General features: G+C 39.4%; 1 protein-coding gene across 36 annotated transcripts in view; it reads left to right on the top strand.

Moving 5' to 3' along the window:
* DLGAP1 (DLG associated protein 1) overlaps window positions 1–26293 on the top strand; it is a 959276-nt gene that overhangs the window by 606322 nt on the left and 326661 nt on the right. For 5 of the 36 annotated variants that reach the window (NM_001003809.3, NM_001242766.2, NM_001242765.2 and 2 more), the window contains exon 1: window positions 3628–3754. The exons of the other annotated variants lie outside the window; for them this stretch is intronic. In NM_001003809.3, the coding sequence (NP_001003809.1) occupies window positions 3704–3754 (51 nt within the window). In that variant the 5' untranslated portion in view covers window positions 3628–3703. Of the gene's footprint in view, window positions 1–3627; window positions 3755–26293 lie in introns of those variants that run through there. 36 annotated transcript variants of the gene reach the window in all.

Below are 26293 nucleotides of genomic sequence, written 5' to 3'. Positions count from 1 at the left end.
CAGGACCATGTCACAGGGCCCCAGAGGTCACGTTTAACATTTGAATCTTTATATCCTTGCTAGTGTTGGGGGGAGGAGCAAAGAAAGCTAATATCTACTTTGCCCTCTGAAAACATCCTTTTGGATGGAGTGGAAGGAGAAGGACAGTGGAAGAGGAGAATCGGTTAGAAGACAAATGTAATATCCAGGTGCAAGAAAATGGTTACTGGGACTAGGATGGTGACAGTGATATTGGGGTAAGTGGGTGGTTTCCGGAGATTCCAAATCAATATCTCTTGGTGATATGGCAGGAGAGGGAAGTGTCCAAAAAGAGTACCCAGGTTTCTGACCTGCGTAGAAGACAGTTGTTCCATTCACTGAAGTACAGAACTCTACAGGAGCCCAGTACTTTTACTGCTGGGGTGGAGATGGGGGCGGGAGAGTTTGGTTTTGAAGGTGCTATGTATGCAGCACTTTGAAGTATCTAAGTGAAGTTGGCAGGTACCTGACTCTCACATGGGAGTTCTGGAACAAAAATATAAATGCATGAGTCATCTGCATAGAAGAGGTTTTGCTGGAGTTCAAATTTCTCTTTACCATGCGTCTTCTCCCTTTTAAAATTTGAAGATCATGTCCTCTGATAGAGAAAATAGTAGAAAAATAAAAGTGTGAGAGTTTGATATTTGTCCTTCTCCTCCCTCCTCCCTACTGCTCCTCCTCCTCTTCCTCCTCTTTCATTATCATCTGTTCACATTGTACCATCTGGAACAAGCCTTGGGATTTTCCTCATTCTATTCATTCTAAGCCATCTCTTTTAAAAAGTCTTTTTTGTGTTTACTGTCCTTGGCTTTTTTTTTTTTTTTTTTTTTTTTTTTTTTTGAGACGGGGCCTTGCTCCATCATCCAGGCTGGAGTGCAATGGCACGATCATGACTCACTGCAGCTTCAAACACCTGAGCTCAAAGGATCCTCCCACCTCAGCTTCCTAATCAGCTGGGACTACTTGCATGCTAATTTTACCTGGTTAATTTTTTTATTTTCTGTAGAGACAGGGTCCCACTCTGTTGCCCAGGGAGGTCTCAAACATCTCAGCTTCCCAAAATGTTGGGATTACAGAAGTGAGACACCGTGCCTGGCCCTTGTCTCTTTTTAAAATTCACAAACCTCATTTCATTCTGGGCTTTAGCCCTTTTGGGGCACTTTGTGTAGGCACTTATCACTTACCTGTGTTCTTTCTTGATTGTGAACCCATCTCTCATGTTTAAAACAGGTTTCTTTCATTGGAATACTTCAAAACCCTCATTGTGCAATTCTTTTGGTTTCTTTCTAGGCTTCCTTTATTCTCGTCTGGATCATTTGGTAGGATGTTGCTATAATTACGTTTGGTGATCCTACCTTCCCCTGAATTGCCTGCCCTTTCATGCTCTTGATCAAACACAGCTCTCCCCCTCATCTTATTCTCCTCTGTCTTCCTCTTCCTCCTTCTTTTATTCCTCCCCTTCATCTTTATTCTCTTCTTCCTCTTCTTCCTAGTCCTCCTCTTTTTCCTGGTGCTCTTACTCTTGCAGATTTGGAGATTTGTTTTCTTGCTGAAAATTAGCCATGATAAAACACCGGCACAGGTGGTTCTTGAGATACGTCTGCAGCCTTCTAGTCTTCAAGAGCATCCCACATTTGGGGTCATCCTTTCTCTTCCCCAACCTCTCCCTATCTGCCTTGTGTAGAATGTGTTATATAAAACTCATTCATATAATTATAAACATATGACAACGTTCTTTTGGCAAATTAATAATTTTATAACATCTCTTTTTTTCAGAAACAGGATTTATTTTCTTAGGCCAATGCTATCCTGATACCAAAACAAGAAAAAGATATTACAAGAAAAGAAATTTACTGACCTAGCTTCCTTATAAAATAGACATGCAAGCCCTTTAACAAATTGAATACATCAATATATTTAAAAGATCATATATCATGAGCAAGCAAATGTTATCTTAGGGATGTAAAGTTAATTTAACATTCACAAATCAATGTAATGCATCATGTTAAAATAAATTTTATTGTGATATTATTTACCCATTTAAAGTAGACAATTTAATGGGTTTAATGTGTTCACAATTGTGCAACCATCACCAAGATCTAAGATAAAAATATTTTCTTCACTCCAATAAGGAATCCTGTACCTGTTAGCAATCACTTCCTGGTCCCCCTACCCCAGGTCCAGGGCAACCACTAGTCTACTTTTCTGTCCCTATAGATTCTGCCTTTTCTGGACATTTCATATAAATAGAATATTGTAATATGTGATCTTTTGAGACTGGCCTCTTTCAATTATCATACTATTTTTAAGATTTATCCATGTTATAGCAGGTATCAATATTTCATTTCTTTTCATTCCAAATAATGTTTTATTGTATGGATATACTACACTTTTAATCCTTTCATCAGTTAGTGGATACAAGGGTTGTTTCCACTTTTTGACTATTGTGAATAATGGTGCTGTGAACATTTGTGTACAAGTGTTTGTGTGGACATTTGCTTTCATTTCTCCTGGTATATGCCTAAAAGCGTGATTGCTGGGTCATATGGTGACACTATACTTAACACTTTGAAACAAACCAATCATTTAATTATAATTTTCCTTATCATTTCTTATTAAATGCACCTGTGCTTTTATTAATTCAGTAGAGGAAAGTTTTAGGGTTTGGTTTTGTATGGTGACGAAGAAAGGAAAGGTGTAAGTCTTTGCTCTACTGAAATTGTATTGTCCTTGTCTATTGATAACCTAAAAGTGATCTTGCTGATGTGGTTGCAGATTGCACTCAGTAAAGCTGGATTTTAGTAAATGCTGCCCACTTAAAACTTATAAAGTGAAATACTTGGAAGAGGACGCTGCAACAGTTCCTTTGCCCCATCCCGAAATGAGACACACACACACACACACACACACACACACACACACACCACACTTTCAATAAGATTTTCTGGGATGTTTCTCTATGGAAGTCAATTTTTTAAAAAATGAAAAGTGTTTGCCAAGAGGTTTCTACAACACGTTTAATTCTTTTGAAGAAAATGAATGAATTGTTGAGAAGTATTACTTAATTTTTCTCTAAAAGAGAATTTGATATCTCAAGGATGGAAATCTATTGTTATTTTACTCCTTAAAATCTCTCTGTTTGTTAGCTGACTGAATGTTCTATCCAATTTGTGCATGTGCACACTTCAACATTGTAAAAGGCATCTGTCTTTCCATCACTAGTCAGACAATCAGGCATGCTTCTTTTAGCAAGCTGCAAGGATCGTTCCCTGATGGGGACTTCCATTTGACAGAATATACGTTACCCCCTATATGGGCTGCAAAGTGATCAATAGCCCAGAATTTACTGAGATAATGAAAGATAGCAATATGATTTTGCTGGGACAGTGAGCATGCCAGACTCTGTAAGTACAACTGCTATGCAAAATTGCACAGGCTGAAAAATCTGCACTAAGTATTCACTTAAGTGTTATTCTTCAGCTATAGGGTTTTATTTCATTAAGTATCTTTATATGAATGAAAATGTAAAGTTGCAAATCTTGAGTTGTGAGCCATGACCAACCACTCTCCCCCCACCCCCAAGTCCTGTGTTTACTGCCTCACTCAACCACTTAGAATCGGCAAATCATAGAGAGAAGCTAAATGCTCTCAGCTGCACTATACCAAATCAAAGCTGAGATGAATAATGAACTTAATTTTCCATAAAGACATTCTGTTTGGCATTCCAGCTAATAAGGTAAGCTAATAGCAATTCTGGGCTATGGAAAGGAAAATAAATCGTTTCTTTGTGCTTGATTTCTGTGCTAATCTATCATCTTTCTTTTAACATACTGGAGTTAATTTCATGTTTCATGATGTCTGTGAACTGGGGATGAACAATTTTATAAAGAGTAGCCCCAACATACCCTTTTCCTCTGATTTGGTTGCTTATGGTACTTGCAGGGCTAAGGGAGAAATCCAGCTTTTTAATAAGAATGAAATGTGTATATTAATATTTTTATCATCTATAGTATGGAGTGAATTTAGTTAAACAGCAGAATATTTAGATGCAGCAAAGACAGGCTAAATTACTTAAGCACTGATTGTTGAATATATTTACTATGATATAGTGTAAATTGATGTTGAATTTGCTCTAAGCTGCAAAGAAAAGCAGAATACGTACATCATGTTGATTTCTGAATCATTTCATTTCTAAGTACATGTTATTCTAGAGAAGGTAGTAATTTTCAATTGCTAAAATTATTCCACAGCTTCAGTTTAGGTGAGTTTTATTTTGTAAAATTGGATTTTTAAAATAACAGCGTGCTGGTAATGTGAATTTTTGTTATTACTTTTTTGATTCACCATGGCGGCAATGATTTTGGTTCATGTGGAAAATGTACTTGTCCACTAAGTTTATGGAATTAGAAACCATCAGCTCTCTCTGAGACTTCTATTGCTACCTTGGTTACTCTATCTCAAAAACAAGAAGTGATGAGGCACTTACTAGGATGGCTTCACTTTTTTGTGATATAGCTTTTTGGTGTTTAATACGGGGATTTTGATTTTCATCAGATGGTAGCAGAAATTCCTGAAACTAGCAAAGGCTTAGCAAGCTGGGGAAGAAATTATCATATTTTTCTTTTCTAGCAAAATGACAAAAATGGAAATTATAACTAAGATTTATGTTTTCAGACATTCGGGCTTGCTGCCATGTCACCTGAAAAATCAGAGACTTTAGGTTCACAAAGTAGGTGACCTCAAAAGATATTTCAGAAGGTCTATTCAAAAACAGCCAAAGCATGTGGGAAATATTGGAGAAATAGAAAATGTTCCTCCTATTCCTACTGTCTCATCTTTGTATTCTGTTTTTATGCACGGGAGACGAGCTGTGGGCACAGGTGTTTTTGTTTCATGGAAGCCTTTAAACACCACAATCAGACTTTTATAGATAAAGAAGAACATTTATTTCATTCCTTGAAATTGTTCACATTTCATATGTCTTTCCTAGAAGTATAAACAGGATGCTGAGAGCTTGAGCACAAGTATTTAGCTACCACATATAACTTACTTCCACCCAAAATATCGTCGATGGTTCACCTAAAATTTTTAGGCATTTCTCTTGAAATGCCTGTAATTTACTAAGTCATCAAGAAGTAGGAATGTGGAATGGAATTTCAGTCTATCACAGTTAATTTTTAACAACAATAAGACAGACATATGTTACCTATTTATACTTAAATGTTTGATTTCATGGCTATTCTGTCTTTGTAAAACTATATTGGAGGCTCAAACGTGGTGCATTGTTTTGGATTTGAAAGGTGTTCATTTTGTTTTCTTCTTTTCTTCCTTTCTCTCTCACCCCTCATCGCTCCAGAGCATGCTGGGCTGCCCCGTGCACTGTTATGCTTATTTAATTCTGCTATTTTTCTCATTTCATGTCTCCCCAATATTACTAATTCAGAACCTATAGATTGATCTATGTTCAATTTAAAGCTGGCAGAAACAAACTAGGAAACAAATTTTTGTAACCACCGCAATGTTGTCTTCTATTTCCTGCCATTTGTACAATAAGAAGATTTTTATACCAGCAGAGCTTTTTATCCGCAATTGCTACATAAAACCAACTTGAGGGTGAAAATGTGCAAGGCTCTTTGGCCAGCATCAGCTTCATGATCTTTTGTCTGTAGTGGTCAACCCATGCATGCTGGGAGATAAGATGCAAAGTTGTTAGCCCTTGAAGGTATTTTTAGCAATGCCAAATGCAAGGCATGTGTTATTTACAAACTCACATATTAGCTCTGTGTTAGTTAATTAATAGAGAATATCTAGAGAAAGAAGCACCCCCACCTTCCCTATATACACACACACATCAAAGGCCACAGAGCAGGTACCAGCTGAGGACAGTGGTGACTGAGGCAGCAGCATCAGTACAGATGGCCCACAGTCATAAGAAGTTCTTGGCACCATTGCAAAAAGGCCTGACAGAAGGCAGCAAACAGATTTGTTCCCAAATACACGTGAAGCTCATCCTTGTGGACAATCAGAATTAACTGGGCGAGGAACAAAGATGAGAGAGAACTAAAGTATCACTGGACTTGGTTATTACTGTTAATATGACCTCATCTATTCTCACAGGTTGGGGTACACAAAGATATCGAGGTTACAAAAATAAAGGCATGACACAAAAACCTATCATGTCAAAAACTGCACTCAGTATCTTCCCAAGAGCCTGCTACCCCATGTTTCCTACCCCTGTAAATGGCACCACTATCTATGCTTTTTTTTAACGCTGAAACATGGGGCCAATCTTGATACCTCTCTCTATCTCACCCTCGTGTCTCTCCTCTAAGGCAGACTCATAAAAGTTAGTTGAATGAATGAATGAGTGGAAAAAAAAAAAAACACCAAATCTTATTTCTGTCCACTTCTCGCCATTCCTTTTGCCACGATCCCAGTTAAACCTCCATCATTTCTCAGCTAGACTATTGTAAATATCTCCTAGTGGTCTTCCTGCCTCTAGTTTCTCCTAAATCCAGTTCATCCTGCACATTATAGCCCAAATGATCTTTCTAAAATACAGATAAAATCATTAAATCTTCTGCTTAAAAATCCTTCACTGGTTCCTCTTTACCCTTGGGATAAAGTCCAAACTTTTAAACATGACTTAGAGAGTATGATGTAGCTGGGGACCTTTTTCCTTCACAATCTCATTTCCTAACACTCCCTCTGTCCACTCTGCATTTCAGCCATACTGGTCTGCTTTTCTCTTTCTTAGCAGTGCCATGTTCTCTTGCCCAGGACCTTTGCATGAGCTGCTTCCTCCTTTGTCTCTTCTGCCTGCCTACAACCCCCTCCACCCCTCACCCCCCACCCCTGCCAAACTCCTCTCTTCCCTACTTAACCTCTTCCCAACTTTCCAGTCTCATCTAAGATAATGTTTCCTCCTGGAAGCCTTCTCTGACTGGCCAAGTTTAAGTGAGGTATCCTCTCCCAATATGCTCTCATAGCACCCATCATTTCCTTATCATGCTTCTTCTATCTTAGGTAGGATTGCCTGTTTTCTTGTTTGACTCTTCCACTAGATCGTTTCATGAAAGAACATAGCTGGTCTCTTATTCATAGTTGTGGCCCGTGATCCAGCACCATGCCTGGCACAGAGTGAATTCTCTCTGAATGCACTAGTAGCTAGCTGGACTCTTTAACAAGCTGTATTACCTTTTGTCTTGCTGAGGTTGCAGAAACCAGATGCAATGATTTTTTATGCTACTCATTCCTGCAAAGTACTGTGCTAAGGTGGTTCATATAATTTCCTTAATCTTCGTGTTGTTGTTCCCATTTTGTAAATGAAAGAACTGAGGCTCAAGTTGTCATGTATGATGCTGATATTAAGGAATGGGACCCTCAGTCTGTTTGACTCCAGGGACCAGTTCTTTCTATTTTCCACGTGATTTACTGCCTCCTTAGAATAAAAGAAAAAGTTTATTCTTAAAAATGTATAAGGATCATTTTTTAAATCCTTAATTTCTCACTGCCTGCCAGTGTTCATTTGCCTTCTGATCTCCAATAGTCAGCCCTGAGTGTATTTTTCCCTTAAATTAAACTGAAAGTACTTCCCTTTGTGCTGTATTCTTTATTCTCAAGCTTTCTTCTTCAAGCCTTATGTCTACAGGAGTTTTCAGCCTTTCTCACTTTCTCTACAGAGAAAGTAGCTGGGCCTTACATTTCTGTTTCATTTCCATTGTCCTTTTAAACAGGCATTATTTTCCTGGACCTGCTCTGTGATTACTGTTTCCATAGCACTTTGCCTGAACTCAGTTGGCCCTTCATGTTCTTCAACCGTAGCCTGATGTCAGACTACTTAGGGGGGCTTCCACTGGTATTTCACTGGGGAAGCAAACTGCTACTTGTTACCACTTAACCAGTTAATTAGCTATGCTCTTTGTGGAAGAAATATCTACAAGTACAGCTAGAGAAGAGACATGTGCAGTTTCTGGGAAATTTTCCATTTTGTGTTGACCATGAGAGTTTTTAGGTTCCTTTAATTCAAACCAGAACACAGACGCACACAGTCAGCTGGAAAATGTGAGAGGCAACAGGGTGTTCCGTGAATGAGTGACAGCTTTCCAGTTGAACAGACCTAGATTTGAATGCTCTTTCTACCACTTCTCTGTCTATATGACTTTACTAAATTACTAAAGCTTTCTGTGCCTCAACTGCTTCATCTGTAAAATGGAGATAATGATGGTGCCTATCATAAAATAATGCCTGGCACAGAGTAAGTACTCGATTAACAATGGTGTTAGTGTGGGTGGTCGTAGTTAGTGGAATAGAGGCTCCAGATGGGGCCACACTCTAATCTCAGGAAACTGAGGATGTTACCTTATGTGGAAAAGATGACTTTGCAGATGTGATTACATTAAGGATCTTAAGGTGGGAGATTGTCTTGGATTATCTGGGTGGGCTCTAAATGTAATCACAAGTGTTCTTTTAAGAAGGAAGCAGAGGGAGACTATGTGGCCGTGGAAGCGGAGAGAGATTTGAAGATGCTTTGCTCTTGGTTGTGAAGATGGAGAAAGGGACCATGGGACAAGGGGAAAAGGCAGGGAAATGGATTCTCCCCTCGAGCCTCCAGAGGACGCCCAGCTCTGCTATCTTGGTTTCAGCTCAGTGAAACTATTTTGGACTTCTGGCCTCCACAACTGTAAGAGATTAAATATGAGATTTTTTAAGCCACTGGGTTTATGGTAATTTGATGCAACAGCCAAAAGAATATAGTGGTGATATTTTGGGAAATGAAACATGGCTCCAAATGAGCTGATAAAGAGGAATAAGATGTTAATATAAAAAAGATGATATTACAGGGTTAAATGTGGAGTAGAGAGGCCCTCTAAATATTATATGTGTGCCTAAATACGTGGTCAGAGGAATTGCAACGCTGGCGCTAGAGGAAGTCTAGAAAGAGAGGGTTTTGAAGGAGTAAAGCCATTTGTGGGGCTTTAGACATAAAGAGAAGTGAGGTCTCCTTGAGAAGGGAGGTGATGCCTGGTGATTCAGGGTGGGGCTGACAGCCAGGGTGTCTGAGCAGATGGCGGAATGTCCTGTTCAGAAGAGAGTGATCAGCTCAGAATAAAGGCTGGTTTGAGGAATTTCCCTGGGCAACCAGGCATGAATCTTAGAAAAGAGGAGGTGTGTCCCAGAAACAAAAGGAGCTGTTTTCTATTGTTCTCAGTGCCATGTTGGTGATAGAAAGAGGCTGTTCAAGAAAATACATTCTGAAAAAGACCTCCTGGGTCTTTAAAACAAGTACAGACTATTAGCACAAGCTGAATACCTTCAACAGAATCTGTTTCTAGCAGTACCCTGAGAGGCCCTAGGTCCGAAGTGAAGCTTGCTGCTTCCCATGAGTATATATAGTGCCTGTTTATGTGCTCATGTTTCTGTTCCCACTTCTGTACTGCCCTCCTCTCTTCTCTTTGCCCAGTTGCCAAAGTCTTTCCCATCACTCAAGTCCCAAGACAAGTATAACCTCCTTAAACTAGCTCCCATGCTACCAATGCCTACGTGTGGATTTTCTAGTGATTTTCACACTTTGCTGACACCAAGTTTGAGGGCTTGTTGCTCCCTCCCCTCCAATAATTCTACCTGTCCCCCAATAGACAGTAGACCCCCTAGAGACAAATATAAGTCTATTGATTTTATTGATTCTTGTGGTTTCTACTCGCACAGTGCTTGGCACACAGGAAGCATTCGATAAATGTGAATGAGTGGATTGATGAATTAATTCATTAATTGTACCCTGTGGGCATAGTTATCATAAGATAAAGAGAATAATGAAGTTCATGAATCCCAGGATCAGTGTCTAAAGAAAATAAGCCCTTCCACCTTAACCTCTCAAAAGCAAGAAATTATAAAAGCACGTAATAGAGCTGCTTCATGCATGAAATAGACATTAATTTCATTATCATCTATTTAGTAGTTCAATATCTAAGATAAAATTTAGGAACAAGTTTTCTTCACTCCCAGATCTAATTTGCCATCTCTTTTATGACATGATTTTTTTTTAACCAAAGCAGGCTATGAAAGGAGAATAACAAAATACCATGTGAAATGCATGCTAATTTATTTTCAAGTACAGTAAAACCAGAGTTTGGTTTTTGCCTGGTGTATTGCACATTTGAGGAAAATTTTCTAAGATTAACAATTATTTTCTTTGAAAAGATAAATGTGTCATGTTTAATGCAAAATTTATAAATGGATGCAACAATTATCTTTTTATTAAATAGTAAAAGTAATGGTAAAGCATCATGTTCACATTTGAAACATAAATCATCTTAGATGAATTAAATATATCACTAATGAGTTATCAAGTGATTAAATGTCTACAGCATATATCCACAACAAGCAGTTCACAACCTGGCTCTAAGAGTTTACTCATTGCTGTAAGCACAAAAGAGTGCTGCTCTCTATCAAATAGAGTGCTTTCAGGGGAGAGTGAAATCCTTCACTTTTAAGCATGTAGTTTTGAACTTTTTGTGTATGCAAGGGACAATGCCAGGCACTATCAGAGATACAAATATGTGTAGCAACCATGCCCAGTTACGATGCTTTACCACTGCTGAGAATTTCTAGTCATATTTACACATAAACCATACAACAGAATATTTCTTAACAACTGAAAGAATCTGATTAGCTTGACTAAACTTGGGAAAGAACAATTGACATTTTGATATTTCCTTAGCTCAACTGGACTAGTTACATTTTTACTAACTTCAAATACTTTATGATCAAGCCCTGTGCATGTGGTATGAGGGTAATCTTAGATGAAAACATCAGGAAAACTCAATTCTTTCATTCACTAACTGAAGCTCCCCTTTTTCCACAGACAGTTGACTATTATTCTAAAATTGTCTCTGCCTTCTATTTCTCTCTTCTCCCCATTGTTGAATTCTGTGGCTCCATCCCAATCTATATTTTTTTTAATTACTAAGACATTAGATGCCATCCATTAGTAATATACTGGTTTTTAAAAAATGGTTCTTTTCCAAACTATCATAAAATCAAGAGAGAGAAATGTGTACAATTTGCATTTATCCTTGTCCCTGACTTTTTTTTTTTTTTTTTTTTTTTTTTTTTTTTGACAGAATCTCACTCTGTCGCCCAGGCTGGAGTGCAGTGGCTTGATCTTGGCTCACTGCAACCTCCGTCTCCCAGGTTCAAGCAATTCTCGTGCCTTAGCCCCCCAAATAGCTGGCTTTACAGGCACACACCACCACGCCCAGCTAATTTTTTTTGTATTTTTAGTAGAGACGGGGTTTCACCATGTTGCCCAGGCTGGTCTCAAACTCCCGAGCTCAGGCAATCTACCAACCTCGGCCTCCCGAAGTGCTAGAATTACAGGCATGAGCCACTGCGCCCAGCCTTTGTCCATAACATTTACAATCTGGGTTACTTTGCTTTCTCAAAGTGAAATTATCAATTATGTCTATCTTTTTAAAAATTTAGTATTGTTTCAAGTTTTGTTTATGAAAAGAAAGAGCCTACATCTATATAAAGTGTAGGATTTATAATATCCATTGCTGCATAAATTAATATATTTACAGCTGAGTCTAAAACCATATACAAATAGAACTGGAAGGATCTGAAAGGGGGCCATATGCCTAATATCACATTTCTAAATGCTTCCTTTTTATAGAAAATAAACTCTAAATTATTGAGGAAGGAAAGCTAATTCATCATAATGGAGGTTTAAACATAAAAGGAAAAGAAGAAAGAAAATAACATATGCTTGGATTTCAAAATCCTGTTACATCATAGCACCCAAAATTGGAAGGAAGATAGAAAACACATCTTGAAAGCCTATTTCGCAGGCTTGGCTCCACCTCACAAAATCCCTGTGCCATTTTCTTAACAAACTTCTTTACATGTAGCAGTTGGATCTAATGAGAGGCTAAATCTTGCCTTTGTGTTAGAAATTGATTTATTTTTTTCCCTCGTTCTGAGTTCTCCTGTAGCCAGCCCCAGAACTCAAGAGCCTGCTTCATTGTTCATCATTTGTATTTATCACTTTTACAGACTGCCACAGGGTGCTCAGAAATCTACCACGCTCTTCAAAAGAAAACACAAAATCCCTGCTCTTCGCAGGGGACCAGCCCATTAAAAGCATTGGCAGAATCTAAGAAAAGAAAGCTGCAGTCGTGATAAAACAACGCATCCGGTAGGAGGGCCACTTAGGCTACCTCTGAGAGGTGGATTCTGAGGGGAGATGGAAAAATGTGTGGCTGAGAACACTTGCTCCCTCTTCACCTCACCACCCTTGCGATGCCTTTAGGTCAGCGGCTACCTCAGAGCAGGAGCAGGTGGCAAGCCCAACATGGAACAAGCCAGGTATTCAAGTCACATCCTAGGAGGGTCGAAAAGTGCAATTCCTCCTCAGTGGACAAATCTCATCCACCTGCGACGTGTGTGACAGTATTCAGGGTGAGGAAAACATTTGACAAAGGAAGAAAAAAAATCTAATCCCATTACCTTTGATGAGTGCTCAGAGGAAACTCCTATAAAAACTGAAGATTAAAATGTTGCATAGTGATGGCATATACCCATGCCCTCACACAGACCTCATTTCCTCTTTCATATTACCCGATAAATGCACTTTTCTCCTAAAGTGTATTTTTTTAATAAATAAAATCAGTAAGATCCTAAGATAGGTGTACTATTCTGAGTAGGAAAGTGATGTGTTTGCTTTCATTTCCTCCTGGTGTCATCATCCTTTGCCATCAGCAATGCTACCAAGATTGGAACACTGATTTGAATATTTCATACTTTAATTGACTATCGTTCTCCTGTATACCTACCCAGTTTGCAATTTCAGGTGACAGTATATTTTCAGCTTAACTTATGTTAATTCTTATCTTGAACTCTGTGGAATCGTATGACAGCAGGTTTAGGGCTAATATTAATCACTTCTCATTTTTGGCAGGTTGCTATAATTATTAAATAGGTATATAAGGTCAAGTTAAATATAGTCAACATCAACTTTATATTTGTTTTATAACAACTGTGCCTCCCACATAGCAGACACACAATAAATAATTGATAAAAGAATGATGGCGATGGCGGGGAGGCACTACATAATTGGAAGGGAGAAGGGAGAGAAAAATCTTCCTATGCTATTATTGGAAACTTTCCAACCATGTTTATGTTTCCATTAAATTAATTATAATCATCAAATAATGAAACTTATGTGGGATGCCCTCATATATGCAATGATTGTGACTGGTTACAGAAGAGCTATAGCTTTTATGTTAGAAAGGAGGATATTTTCTTTTTTTTTTTTTTTTTGAGACGGAGCCTTGCTCTGTTGCCACACTGGAGTGCAATGACGCGATCTTGGCTCACCGCAACTTCCACTTCCCAGATTCAAGCGATTCTCCTGCCTCAGCCTCCCAAGTAGCTGGAACTACAGTCGCGCGCCACCACGCCCAGCTAATTTTTTGTGTTTTTAGTAGAGACAGGGTTTCACCGTGTTACCCAGGATGGTCTTGATCTCCTGACTTCATGATCTGCCCCCTCAGCCTCCCAAAGTGCTGGGATTACAGGCGTGAGCCACCACGCCTGGCCAGAAAGGAGGATATTTTCTATGAAGCACTCATTCTATAAAAACTTGCCATTCTTATATAATGTAAATGGTAAATATGGCATTAGTGTTCTGCTTCTTTCTCCAAAGGGTATTTTTTTAAAGAACCCACAAATGTCATCTCATCTATTTTTAAGTATAGGGCTGCTGGATAAACAGCTAAATCATCTAAACCCAATGGGAAAATTCAAAGTTTAAATAAGCTATTTTATCTCATTGAAAATAAGTGGTACAGACTGACACAGGCCATATGGGTTTTTGCATACAGTTACATGTAAATTTTCTTAACTTTGAATATAAAATTCTGGTTGAAGCTGAAGAAATGGAAAAGCAAAATATAATCTGTAATGACGATTCTTTGAAGATTCTAATTTCTGATTCTGTGGTCCAAGTTTCATCAATTTCCAGTCAAAGCCTGTTCCTTAGGTTATCGTGTACATAATGGAGTTGTATCTTTAAGGTGAGATAATGTAAAGACAACACAAATTCTAAAATGCAGATCTCCAGTGGTCGTACATTTGGGGTTCTTTCACAGAATTCATTTTTTAATAAAAGTTACATATGCTAATTGTGAAAAAAATTCAAATAGTACAGATTGATACAGGGTTAAAAGTAAAAGCTCCCTCCCCCACCGTGTTCCAGTCTTATTTAACCAAAGGCAGCCATCACTGTTACCATTTTAACATTCGCCTTCTGCTATTTTCTACATATAGTCAAACATACAAATATGTATATGTGTACGTACACATTCACCTATGTACATATATTTGATTATATGGAGTGTCCATTCATTTGGCAAATGTTTAATGCTCATCTACTGTGTGCCAAGCTCACTTCCAGACACCGGGAACACAGGATTGAATCAAATCAAAACTCTTTCTTTAATGAAGCTACTTTGTACTATATTAACATCACATGTTAAAGAACTAGTATATTAGCAATACATATTGGGGAACAGTATTCACTACCATGCATTTTGCTTTTACAACCAGTGCTATGATTAATCATCTATTACATAAATCTTTTTTTTTTTTTTTTTTTTTTTTTGAGACAGAGTCTTGCTCTATCTCCCAGGCTGGAGTGCAGTGGCGCGATCTCGGCTCACTGCAAGCTCCGCCTCCTGGGTTCACGCCAGTCTCCTGCCTCAGCCTCCTGAGTAGCTGGGACTACAGGTGCCCGCCACCACACCCGGCTAATTTTTTGTATTTTTAGTAGAGACGGAGTTTCACCGTGTTAGCCAGGATAGTCTGGATCTCCTGACCTCATGATCCACCCGCCTCGGCCTCCCAAAGTGCTGGGATCACAGGTGTGAACCACCACGCCCGGCCCATAAATCTCTATACCAATTTATGAGTTGGATAAATTGCAGAAATTATTTGTGTATAGTCAGTCTTTAGGTAAATGTTTTATTTGTATTATCAACTTCTTTAGAAATGGATTCTGAGTTTTTCATTGCTAATCAAATTAATGCAACAATAGAATTTTTACACTGTGGTACTTAATCTTTTGTAAACCAACACCTTCAAGTATCTTAATAAAGGTATCAAAATTTTATCATTCAGATAAATTATTCAGGTAAATTTATCATTCAGACAAATCATTGTATCCTTGTAGATTCATCTATGAGAATGCTCCAAAAGGAAATCAGTTCAGAAGTCCTAGTTTCCCTCTATTTTCATTGATCACACGTGCTAGAAATCTCTGATTTAAATATTTCATGATACCCAAATGCCTCCCAAACAAAATAATTATCTTTTTGTTTGTTTCTGTGTAACAGAAGAGAAAAATAAAAGCTGTTTAGTAAATCAAAACAAAACAGTCCAGATGCGGTGGCTCACACCTGTAATCCCAGCACTTTGGGAGGCTGAGGCGGGCAGATCACTTGAGGGTCAGGAGTTTGAGACAAGCCTGGGCAACATGGCAAAACCCCATCTCTACCAAAAATACAAAAATTAACTGGGCGTGGTGGCATGTGCCTGTGGTTCTAGCTACTCAGGAGGCTGAAGTGGAAGGATTGCTTGAGCCTGAAAGATCGAGGCTGCAGTGAGCTGTGATTGCACCACTGCACTCCAGCCTGGGGGAGAAAGTGAGACCCTGTCAAAAAAAAACAAGGAGGAAGGAAGGAAGGAAGGAAGGAAGGAAGGAAGGAAGGAAGGAAGGAAGGAAGGAAGGAAGGAAGGAAGGAAGGAAGGAAGGAAGGAAGGAAGGAAGGAAGGAAGGAATCTTATAATTCATAGAAAATTAAAGAAAAAAGAAAATTACACCACCAATGTAATAGGGCACAACAAAAGCTACTGTTATTTATGAGATTCTCCTTTAGAAAGCTATTTGAGCTTCTCTTACTTCTATGCCTCATGTATTTATTACAACTGAAAGCAGGTCAAAATTTACATCCAGGAGCAGCCTCAAATGGAAGGAGGAAAGTTGACAGACAAGTGGGTGTACAAAGGAGAAAGGTGCTCTCACTCCTCTGCCTCAGTGATGGGGGGGGCACCTAAGCTGCCTCCCGTTTTCCACCCCTGCATCCCCCACAAGGGCCTTCTTGCCCCTACTTTGTATTTTCTGTTTCAGACTTCTTCCAGTAATATTGAGAGCATATGGCTGGTTTGGGCAGAAACTAGGAAGCCACATAAATTATTTTTCCTGACTTAGAATTATGTTCCCTCCTGGGAAAAAAAAAAAAAGAAGGTTCTCTGTGGCCGTTCCAACACAAAACATTTTTTTTTTCTGGATGTTTATCTAAATCCACTGCAAGGAAAAATAACATGATTCCTTTGTCAAATGAGATATCAAAAATGAGGCTTAATTCAATGTTTTTCTATTGATTCAGAATTTTTTAGTCTAAACGAATAATTACTAACTGGAGTAGGTGGCTAAGTGCCTACTCGTGCAGCTGTAGTGGGTCATTTGAATTGCAGAAAGCCAGCATCGTTACTAGGAGGAAGCATGAATATCTGAACCATCTCACCCAGCAGGTCAGCTTGACTCATCACCAAAAAGGTAAAGAAAGAAAATGACAAAAGAAAGCCTTTCTCAAATGAAATATATCTGCATTATTACTGTCCATGGGTAGTTCACAGTTTTTGTAATAGGAAAAACATCATCACTGAATATGAAGTGTGCTTGTGCGTTCATGTGTGTGTGACAGAGAGAGGATACTAAAGACTGAATTCCAGTCAATGTCGGGAGACAGAAGGAATAATGGAGTGTGCATGCATGGGTTCTGGTTATTTCTATATGCAAAGGTAATCATTTATTATCTTGACGAAGCATTCTTCTCTCATTACAGTTTTTACCATCAAAAGGTTGGCATGATCTAGGTTCTTGGTGTAAAATACAAGATGTGACCCAAACCTATTTGTATAGATCCATGTCACTTACATGTCTCTATTACCACCTCTCATTTGCACTGATAACTTGAATGAAACATATCCTGGCACAGGCTTGACACAAAATATGAAGTTTCCAAAGGCTGAGTCCCTCCTATACACAGTAGCCATTCCTTCATGTTTGTCTTCTACATGTTGATATAGGGAGATCAAAACAGTTTCACAGAATTTGTTGAAAGGTATTCATGAAGAGTTCAGTGGTGAGATAAATAGTTGCAGTGTGATGAACTGGGAAAGTGCAATGGGCCAAAGGAGATCTGAATTCTAACCCAGTTCTGCCACTTATTAGCCATATAAGCTGTAATTTACATTCTGGATGTCAATTTCTTTGTTTGTATGTGAAGAAGCTGACATTTCCCAAAGGATGATTTGAATAGATATTAATGTGAAGAAAAGGAGTTGAATTTGAGAAACTGAGTACTGTATTCAGAATTCTATATTGGCAGACATCCTAGAATCTTTAAGATGCTCATATGGATGGAAACTCTTTAAGAGAACAATACAGTATAAAGCATCTCCCAAACCCTCTTGGAACCACATTTCACAGAACATTTCTAAGGACTGGTGATCCAACAAACCTGCATGTTCTGCACATGCATCACAGAACTTAAAGTATTAAAAAAAAAAGGATTGGTGATCCATAAAATGTGCTTTGGAATACACAGGGTGAGATGACAGTCTTCAGATTCTGTTTGACTCGTCCTGCCATGATCTGGTGATGGGTCTCTCTGGGCCTAGTAGAGTTCAGTTGACCCTGCTGGGGGTTGTGGCCTTGCTTCCCCAAATATCTCCACAGCAACATCCAACTGCAGCTCCTTGGATGCCAAAAGAGCCTCTCTTCTGGATACTGGTCATTCATACCCCCTCTACACACATGCACCAGCAACTTCGTGCACGGAGATGTGTTCCTCCATGATCCCTGTTTGCCCACAACCATTGCGAGGTTTCTTCCCTGCCCTTGGTAGAGGAAAATCTGGGATGAAAGGTGTCCATACTTTATTTCTCAGTTGAATAAAATAGGTACAACCTGAGTGATGTAATTAGAGATTTCATGAGCACTTTTACTTTACAATATGTTGTTTTCTTTTATACTCTGCTTAGAACTAGAATTATAGGAATGAATATTGGTCTCTGCCAGACAAATGACATCATCCCTCCTCTCAAGTTGCTTACAGATTGGTGGGTGAGACTGATCTATAAACAAATGGTTTTAAAACAATGTGATCAGTGTTACATTAGTAGTATGTGCAAGTTGCTACAGTAAATCTTGATTTTTTTAAGGTTAGCTCTATATTTGTTTTATCAAGGCCGGGCATTATGGAATTCTTTGTCTTTCAGAATACAAAGGGCTTAAATAAAAGATGAGTCTATAAATTTCCTGTTTATTTATTTATTTTTGAGACAGAGTCTTGCCCTGGTTCCCAGGCTGGAGTGCAATGGCAAGATCTCGGCTCCCTGCAACCTCCGCCTCCCGGGTTCAAGGTATTCTTCTGCCCCCAGCCTCCCGAGTAGCTGGGATTGCAGGCATGTGCCACCACACCCGGCTAATTTTTTGTATCTTTAATAGAGATGGGGTTTCACCATGTTAGCCAGGCTGGTCTTGAACTCCTGACATCGTGATCCGCCCACCTCAGCCTCCCAAAGTGCTGGGATTACAGGTGTGAGCCACCACGCCTGGCCAATTTCCTGTTTATTTACCATGGTGGGATGTTTCAGGTGACTGTAGATTTTCCTGTTCATTTGTCAACAAGAAATAAAAATTCCATGAATGACTCTTTTGCCCTTAAAGAACATTGTCAATGAAATTGACATGCCAGGCACCTTGCTAGGTGCTGGTACAGAGCCAGTAAGAGTCTCACTTTGCTTACATGGCCTTTGTGGGTCTCCTGAACAACCAGTGAGGAGATGGTCTTTACACTCACGTCTTTGACCCAAACCATAGTTCCTCAGAAAATGAACGGAGCATATGCAGCTCACAGCTGAAGAGAATCTGAATATCAATAAGCACTGCAGCGGCCCTGTCTGCCCATCAAGTCTCCCTCCCACTGCCTCAGAAGCTGCCCACCCGAATTCCTGTCTATATGGTTAGTTCTGTGCAGCCACCTGCTGAGTTTAGAGTACCCAGTGCCCAATCAAACCCTAATCTAGGTGTTGCAGTAAAGTAATTGTATACACGTGGTTAAAATCTATAATCAGTAGACTTTATGTAAAGAAGATTACCCTCCATAATGTGGATGGGCCTCAACCAATCAGTTGAAAGGCCTTATGACCAAAAATTGAGGTTTTATTGACAAGATTCTGTCTCAAGACTGCAGAATCAACTCCAGCCTGAGTTTCCAGCCTGCCAGACCACCCTGTGGATTTCAGACTTGCTACTCACCACAGTCATCTCTAAAATAAATCTTTTTTTTTCCTGTTCTCTTCTGAGAACCCTGACTGATCCACAGTCCCCTATACACAGGCCTCTAGAGATTCCCCCAAGTGTACTAACCTTCCCCACCCTCCACCCCCTCCCACCCCCAAGCTCAGAGAGTCTTGGATCTATTGCACAATCCATTAAGGGTCAGCTCTATCATGAATGAAACAAGCTTTAAGGGTTTGCACCATGTGGGAACTTAACCGTTATTTAAACATGATTACTATATGAAAAAGCAACCTACAAATACACTTTGAATGAGTTAGCATGTCATATGTTACTTTATATCATCTCTATCTTTATAGTCAGTCTCTGAAGTAGGTATTGCTGTCCTCACTTTATGTTTGAAAACCTGAAGTTAAAAGATGTTCAGGTAATTAGGCCAAAATCACATGTCTGGTCTAAGTAGAGTCAGATTTGAACTCAGGTTGACCTGATGTACTGTATTCATTGCACCATCCTCCTTCCTTATAAGTGAAAAACTACCTAAGTAAGAATTACATGGTGGAAAAATATTTTATTTTCTTCAGTGCCACTTTTATAAGCATTCTCTATAGAGAAGGATTTAAACATTAGCTAACATTTATTGAGGACTTTACCATGTACCTGGCTCTTATTTTAAAGATTCTTTAAATGAAATGTCTGGGTTAAATTATATATCATTTCTGTAGTTGGGCATTTCAAAATTCTAAGACATTGTTAGTACTAATGATTTTCCCAGCTCCATCGACTTTGGGTCATAGATATTTAATGAAAGATTTCTACTCCCATTTTTAAATAATCAATATTTCATATTGACATTGAATACTATGTAAATTATAATAAAAAGATGGGATTGTTCTTGAAAGTTTTTTTTTTAAAGGTTTTGTTTTGTCTTTTTGTCCTTTTTTTTTTTTTTTTTTTTTTTTGAGATAGAGTCTTGCTCTGTCACCCAGGCTGGAGTGCAGTGGCCTGATCACAACTCACTGGAGCCTTCAGCTCCTAGGCTCAGGAGATCCTCTCACCTCAGCCTCCCAAGTAGCTAGGACTACAGGCACATGCCTCCACACCCAACTAATATTTAAATAGTTTGTTGAAATGAGGTCTTGCTCTGTTGCCCAGGCTGATCTCAAACACCTGGGCTCAAGCAAGCCTCCCGCCTCAGCCTCCCAACGTGTTGGGATTACAGGCGTGAGCCACTGTGCCTGGCCTGTCTTGTTTTTAAAAATGTTTTGAACACCACTGCCCCTGGCCCCCAGAGGCTGATGTACAAGAACATGAAAAAGCATTCAAACTTCAGGATTCTTGCCCTAACTTTGCACATGTGATAACCCAGATGATGGACTCACTTCATCTGGGCTGTCATCTCCAACCCTGGCTGGTGTTTTGTCTGACTCTTGGCTACACAGGGACCTCTTTAAAAAGACATGCAGGTCTGTGTTTATTCTGAAGACACAGAGGTTTTAAGAAATATTCTTCTACACGACTACAATCAGTACAGAAGTACAATCAGTAAAAGTAAAGGTAACTAAAGACCAAGGAGCCCAATTCAAGAAGTATTACTTTAGGGTCTCAAAACTATTCATTTGGCAAGCATCTATTAAGTACTTGCTTTATAGAAGGTACTTGAGAAGGAATGAAGATGAATAACAGTGTCTCTCTGATTAATAATGAATGTGGCAGAGCACTGTGGCAGACACTCTAACAGTAGTGCTTTTCTAAGCAATGGTAGCAACTAATTAGTGGTAGTGAAATCAATTTAATGGGTCACAAACACCATTATTTTTAATTAAATAGAATACAACAGAAGAGAATGAAAATAAAGACAGTGTGTGGCATGCCAAAAGGTTAAGTATTTCTCTCTGTCTTTCACTTGTATACGTGCTTATACTGGTTTCCAAAGTAAGATGTATTTCTTGCTGTGAGATGTAGCCAAAAGCTATTTAAAAGCCACTGCTGTAGAGAGAGAGAGAAAAAGAAGAAAACAAAAGCCTTGCTCTCAAGAAGTTTGCATCTTGCTGGGAAGATAAAGCTATTCATGAACAGCAGAATCCTTTGTCTATGGCAACTGAGACTAAGAGATAAAATTAACGTTGCTGACTTAGTGTCCCATGGGATTAAGATCACGGGAAGAAGTCAATGTGACAGTACGTTACTCCTTTCTCTTTGAAAAACTTTTTTCACTCAGCTTCCAGGACCGACAACACACCCTTTGTTGATCGTTTTAAGCCTGCCTAGTTTGTGGTTTCTTAGCTCCAAACTTCTAAGGGTGGAGCAATGCTGAGTGGACATGGCTCTTGGACCATTTCTCTCTTCTACCAACACTCACTCCTTAGGTCACCTCCTTCATTCTCAGAGCTCTAAGTCCCAGGTGTATGCCCACAGGGATGTTTGCAGCCACCCTGAAGCCCCAGTCTTAGATAGTAAGCTACCCTATTCAACATCTCTGCTTAGATGACCCATGGGCATTTCAAACTTCCTACATCCCAAACTGAACTCCTAATTTCCATCCTGAGTCTACTCCTTCTTTAGGCCTTGTCATCTCAGCTAATGGGAATTCAGTCCTTCCAGCTGATCAGGTCAAAAACCTTGGAGTCGCCCTTAACTACTGTTTCTCAGTCCACACATCCAGATCATCGTTAGCAAACCTCTTGGCCCTATCTTCTCCCTCCACCGCTGCTCTGCCCTGGCTCCTCCCCTTTAGCTACAATCTAGGTTATTGCATGAGCCTCCAAGGGTCTCTGATTCTACTCTTGTTGCCCTTGAGCCATTCTCAACTTAGCAACCTGCGTGATTCTCTTGAACTAGAATGTGTCTGTATCTCATCAAAGCCTCCATTCTACTCCCATCTCACCCCAAGTACATGCCACAGCCCTTACCACAGCCTGTAAAGCCTCCTGAAATGGACCCCCACACTCCCCAAATCACTGTCCTCACCTTCTGCCACCTCTCACTCCACTCCACTCACCTGGCCTCCCGCTGTGTGCATGGCAGTCCTGCCCTTTCTTCAGGACTTTCTCATCTGTGCTTCTTTGTGCCTTGAGCACTCTGCCACCAGACCCCAGGGCAGAGTCCCTGACTCCAGTCAGTCGGTACCTAGAGGTCTCTTAATGTAGCCTGCGATGATGCCACTATTAACATGCCTATCCCACCACCCACCTCTCCTCCACACAGTCTTCCCCCTTTCCTGCTTTCATTTTTCCATAGTACGTATCATTGCCTAACATACATTTTGCCCATTTTATTAGTGTCTGTCCTTTCCCTTCCTCATGACAGCAGAGCTTTATTTTTTAACTTTAGATTCAGGGCATACATGTGCAGGCTTGTTACGTGGATAGATTGCATAACACTGAGATTTGGGCTTCTATTGAACTCATCATCCAAATAATGAACATAGTACTCAGTAGATAGTTTTTCAACCCTTGCCCTTCACCATCCCCTCTTTTGGAGTCCTCAGTGTCTACTGTTGCCATCTTTATGTCTGTGTGTAGTCATCGTTTAGCTCCCACTTACAAGTGAGAACAGGCAGTATTTGGTTTTCCGTTTCTGCATGAATTCATTTAGGATAATGGCTTCCAGCTGCATTTGTGTTGCTGCAAAGGACATGATTTTGTTCTTTTTTTATGGCTGCATAGTATTCCATAGTGTATATGTACCACATTTTCTTTATCCAACCTACGATTGATGAGCACCTAGGTTGATTCCATGACTTTAGTATAGTTTAATAGGGCTGTGATCAACATGTGAGTGCAGGTGTATTTTTGGTAGAGTGCTTTATTTTCCTATATATACTCAGTACTATGATTGCTGGGTCAAATGGTAGTTCTATTTTTAGTTCTTTGAGGAACGGAGATTTTTTTCTCTGCCTGTGAATTGCGGTATCCCCAGTACCTAAAATAGCACCTGTTTCATGATACAGTCCTCTCTATGTATCCATCAGTTCTGCATCTGTGGATTTAACCAACCATGGGTCAAAAATATTTGGAAAAAAAATCCACAAAATTGCACAAAACAAAACTTGAATTTGCTGAACCCTGAGTACTATGTTGAATCCACACAAATGAAGTGATGTGCAGGCATTGTATTTGGTATTACAAGGAATGTAGAGATGATTTAAAGTATATGGGAAGATAATGCATAGGTTATATGCAAATACTACACCATTTTATATCAGGAAGTTAAGCATCCACGGATTTTGGTATCCTGGAACCAGTCCCCCACAGATACCATAGGATGACTGTATATACTCAATAAATATGTGTTGAACAAGTGAATGAATACTTCTAAAGCATTTTGATAAAGTCACAGAAGAAGTGGAACTTTTAACTCCAGCTTAACCACAAAGTAATCAGTTTAAAGTGAAAGAAGAGAACCCTGTAATGAATACTCCAGTTGGAACATTTCCTTTCAATGGACCTTGAGCTAGCCTGGAAGCACTGATTTGGATAACTATTGAGTGTATCATACTCATCTGTACACATGTTTGTGGGACATCCTCTGTTCATTATAGATATCTTGCTGCCTGTGGAAAGTAGATTGAAACGTAGCTTAAAGTACACACCCTCAAGAGGCAACTTCCCTGTATGATGATTATGAAAGTGGAATTTTGAATCACACATGTGCATGAGGACACCAAAATATTATTCAGTTATTTTCCCGATCTCAAGAACTAGATGCATGTGGTTTGACGGTTTCATTGCATTAGAATGGATGGGATTCAGGAAGGAAAGATTATTTTGGCCCGTTTGAATGCCGTATGCTTTCAGGTGTTATAAATGTAGCTTGGAATAAAAAGTCCAAACAGCCCCAAGATGCAGTGGGAATCAGATGATGATGACGAGAAGCAGGAGGCTCTGAGTTGTGTCTCTTCTTAAATCTATTGAGATTTTTCTTTGTTTATAAATGTCAAATATGTAAGTTAATGATTCACAAGTAAGCCTCATTTAAGAAACTTAATATTTCAAAATTGATAATAGACTAAAGGAAAATATTTGCCGAAACCTTTTTTAAAATTTTTAATTTTAAAATTAAGTATTAATACTTGAGATGATTGACTTGATATTTTATAGACTCTAGCTATACTATTTGTTAATAATAACATTATCAGATTTTGTGTCCTAAGGAAAAAATTAATATACAAGTTTGACAAGTAGTTGGGTGTGTATAGCAACAGACAGATGTGCTGAGAGGTTTATGTGATTTTAGACAACACCAAGGATTAGTGTTGATGAATGATGTTTCCACATGTGGGCTTCTATTGGCAGCAAGAGGAAGGTCACTAATCTTCTACCCACATCTCTGCTTCTGAACACCAGACACAAAATTCTAGTTTGCCTCAGGGAATTCAATGTTTGCAACTAGGAATTATAGCCACAAACATCATAGGATATGGTGGATAGACACCAGCACACTAGTAACTATAACAATAATGGAAAGCTATGATGGCTCAACTAACAATTCCAAGCCAACAGATATGCCTCCAATACACCAGAAAATGAAGTTATCTTAAAAACTAAAAAGGGGCTCTAAGTTAGCTTATCTCCTATATAGTCAGTGGAAAAAATATATTTACCATAGACCTAGACCTCTATTTTTTTTTTTTTTTTTTTTTTTTTTTTTGAGAGGGAGTCTCACTCTGTCACCCAGGCTGGAATGTAATGGTACCATCTTGGCTCATTGCAACCTCCACCTCCCAGGTTCAAGCAATTCTCCTGCCTCAGCCTCCTGAGTAGCTGGGATTACAGGTGCCAGCCACCAAGCCTGGCTAATTTTTCTATTTTTAGTATAGACAGGGTTTTACCATGTTGGCCAGGCTGGTCTCAAACTCCTGACCTCAGGTGATCTGCCCGCCTCGGCCTCCCAAAGTGCTGGGCCAAGCATCTAACACTCAGTACTTGTTACAAGTTCCAAAATGCTATGGGATTGTATCTCTCAGCAACTTAACACTTGAATTTTAGGTTTAATAGAAAATTACTATAACAAAGTTTTGAAACTCTTATAGACAGCAGCCTGGTGTGAAGAAGAGTGTAGAAATTTGAGTAAGACAAACCTGTCTTTCAATTCTGACAAGCTGTAACATTTGGTCTAAGTTATTTAATACCACTAAGTCTCAATTTTTTCATCATTGCAATGGCATTAAGATAACATAAGGTTTTTGTATTACGTGAAATTATGTTTGTGTATTAGATGTTATAAAATGGCTACCGACAAGTCCTAAGGTCACATGCATCCCTATTAATATATTCAGTGAGAGAGGAGGTATCTTTGTCCTGGCATTTCATGCACAGGTCCAGAGATGCTTGCTGACTGAGTAAGCTTAGATCATTCACCTCTGCCCTGAGCCAAGCAATGAAGCCAGGAAGTGTGATTTGCTGATTGTCCTACCCCAACTCTTGGGCTACTCCTGAAATACATGGACCTCGAATTGAGGAGAAAGCTTTTCCCAAAGCAAAATCAGGAGGCTTGGCTACAAGAACCAGAAGTGGAACTGGGATAGCTAAACCTATACGTATTCACTACCGTCAAAATAGTGGGTGAATAATTAATAAAATTCATTTCCCTTCCTGTCCCTACATCATACTAGAATCTTAATATCTTGTCTCACTGTGTTGCCCAGGCTGGTCTTGAACTCCTGGATTCAAGTGATCCTCTCACCTCAGCCTCCCAAGTAGCTGGGACTACAGGTGCATTCTACCACACCCAGCATCTTAGTTATTATTTCTTGATGTGATATCACGAGAGTGTCTTATCCACAGTTAGTGCCCCTTTTGATGTCATCCAGCACCTCAGTAACATTTTCTACTAGTCCCCAAAGGCCCATGGCTCCCCAATCCCTTGGGGACTGCAGACCTAGGCCCTCTGCCATTCCCCTGCAGG

Source organism: Homo sapiens, chromosome 18 (genome assembly GCF_000001405.40).
Source record: "Homo sapiens chromosome 18, GRCh38.p14 Primary Assembly".
Classification (NCBI taxonomy): Eukaryota; Metazoa; Chordata; class Mammalia; order Primates; family Hominidae; genus Homo; species Homo sapiens.
The sequence above is the reverse complement of the archived record's forward strand: the minus strand, read 5'-3'. Positions and strand labels throughout refer to the sequence as shown.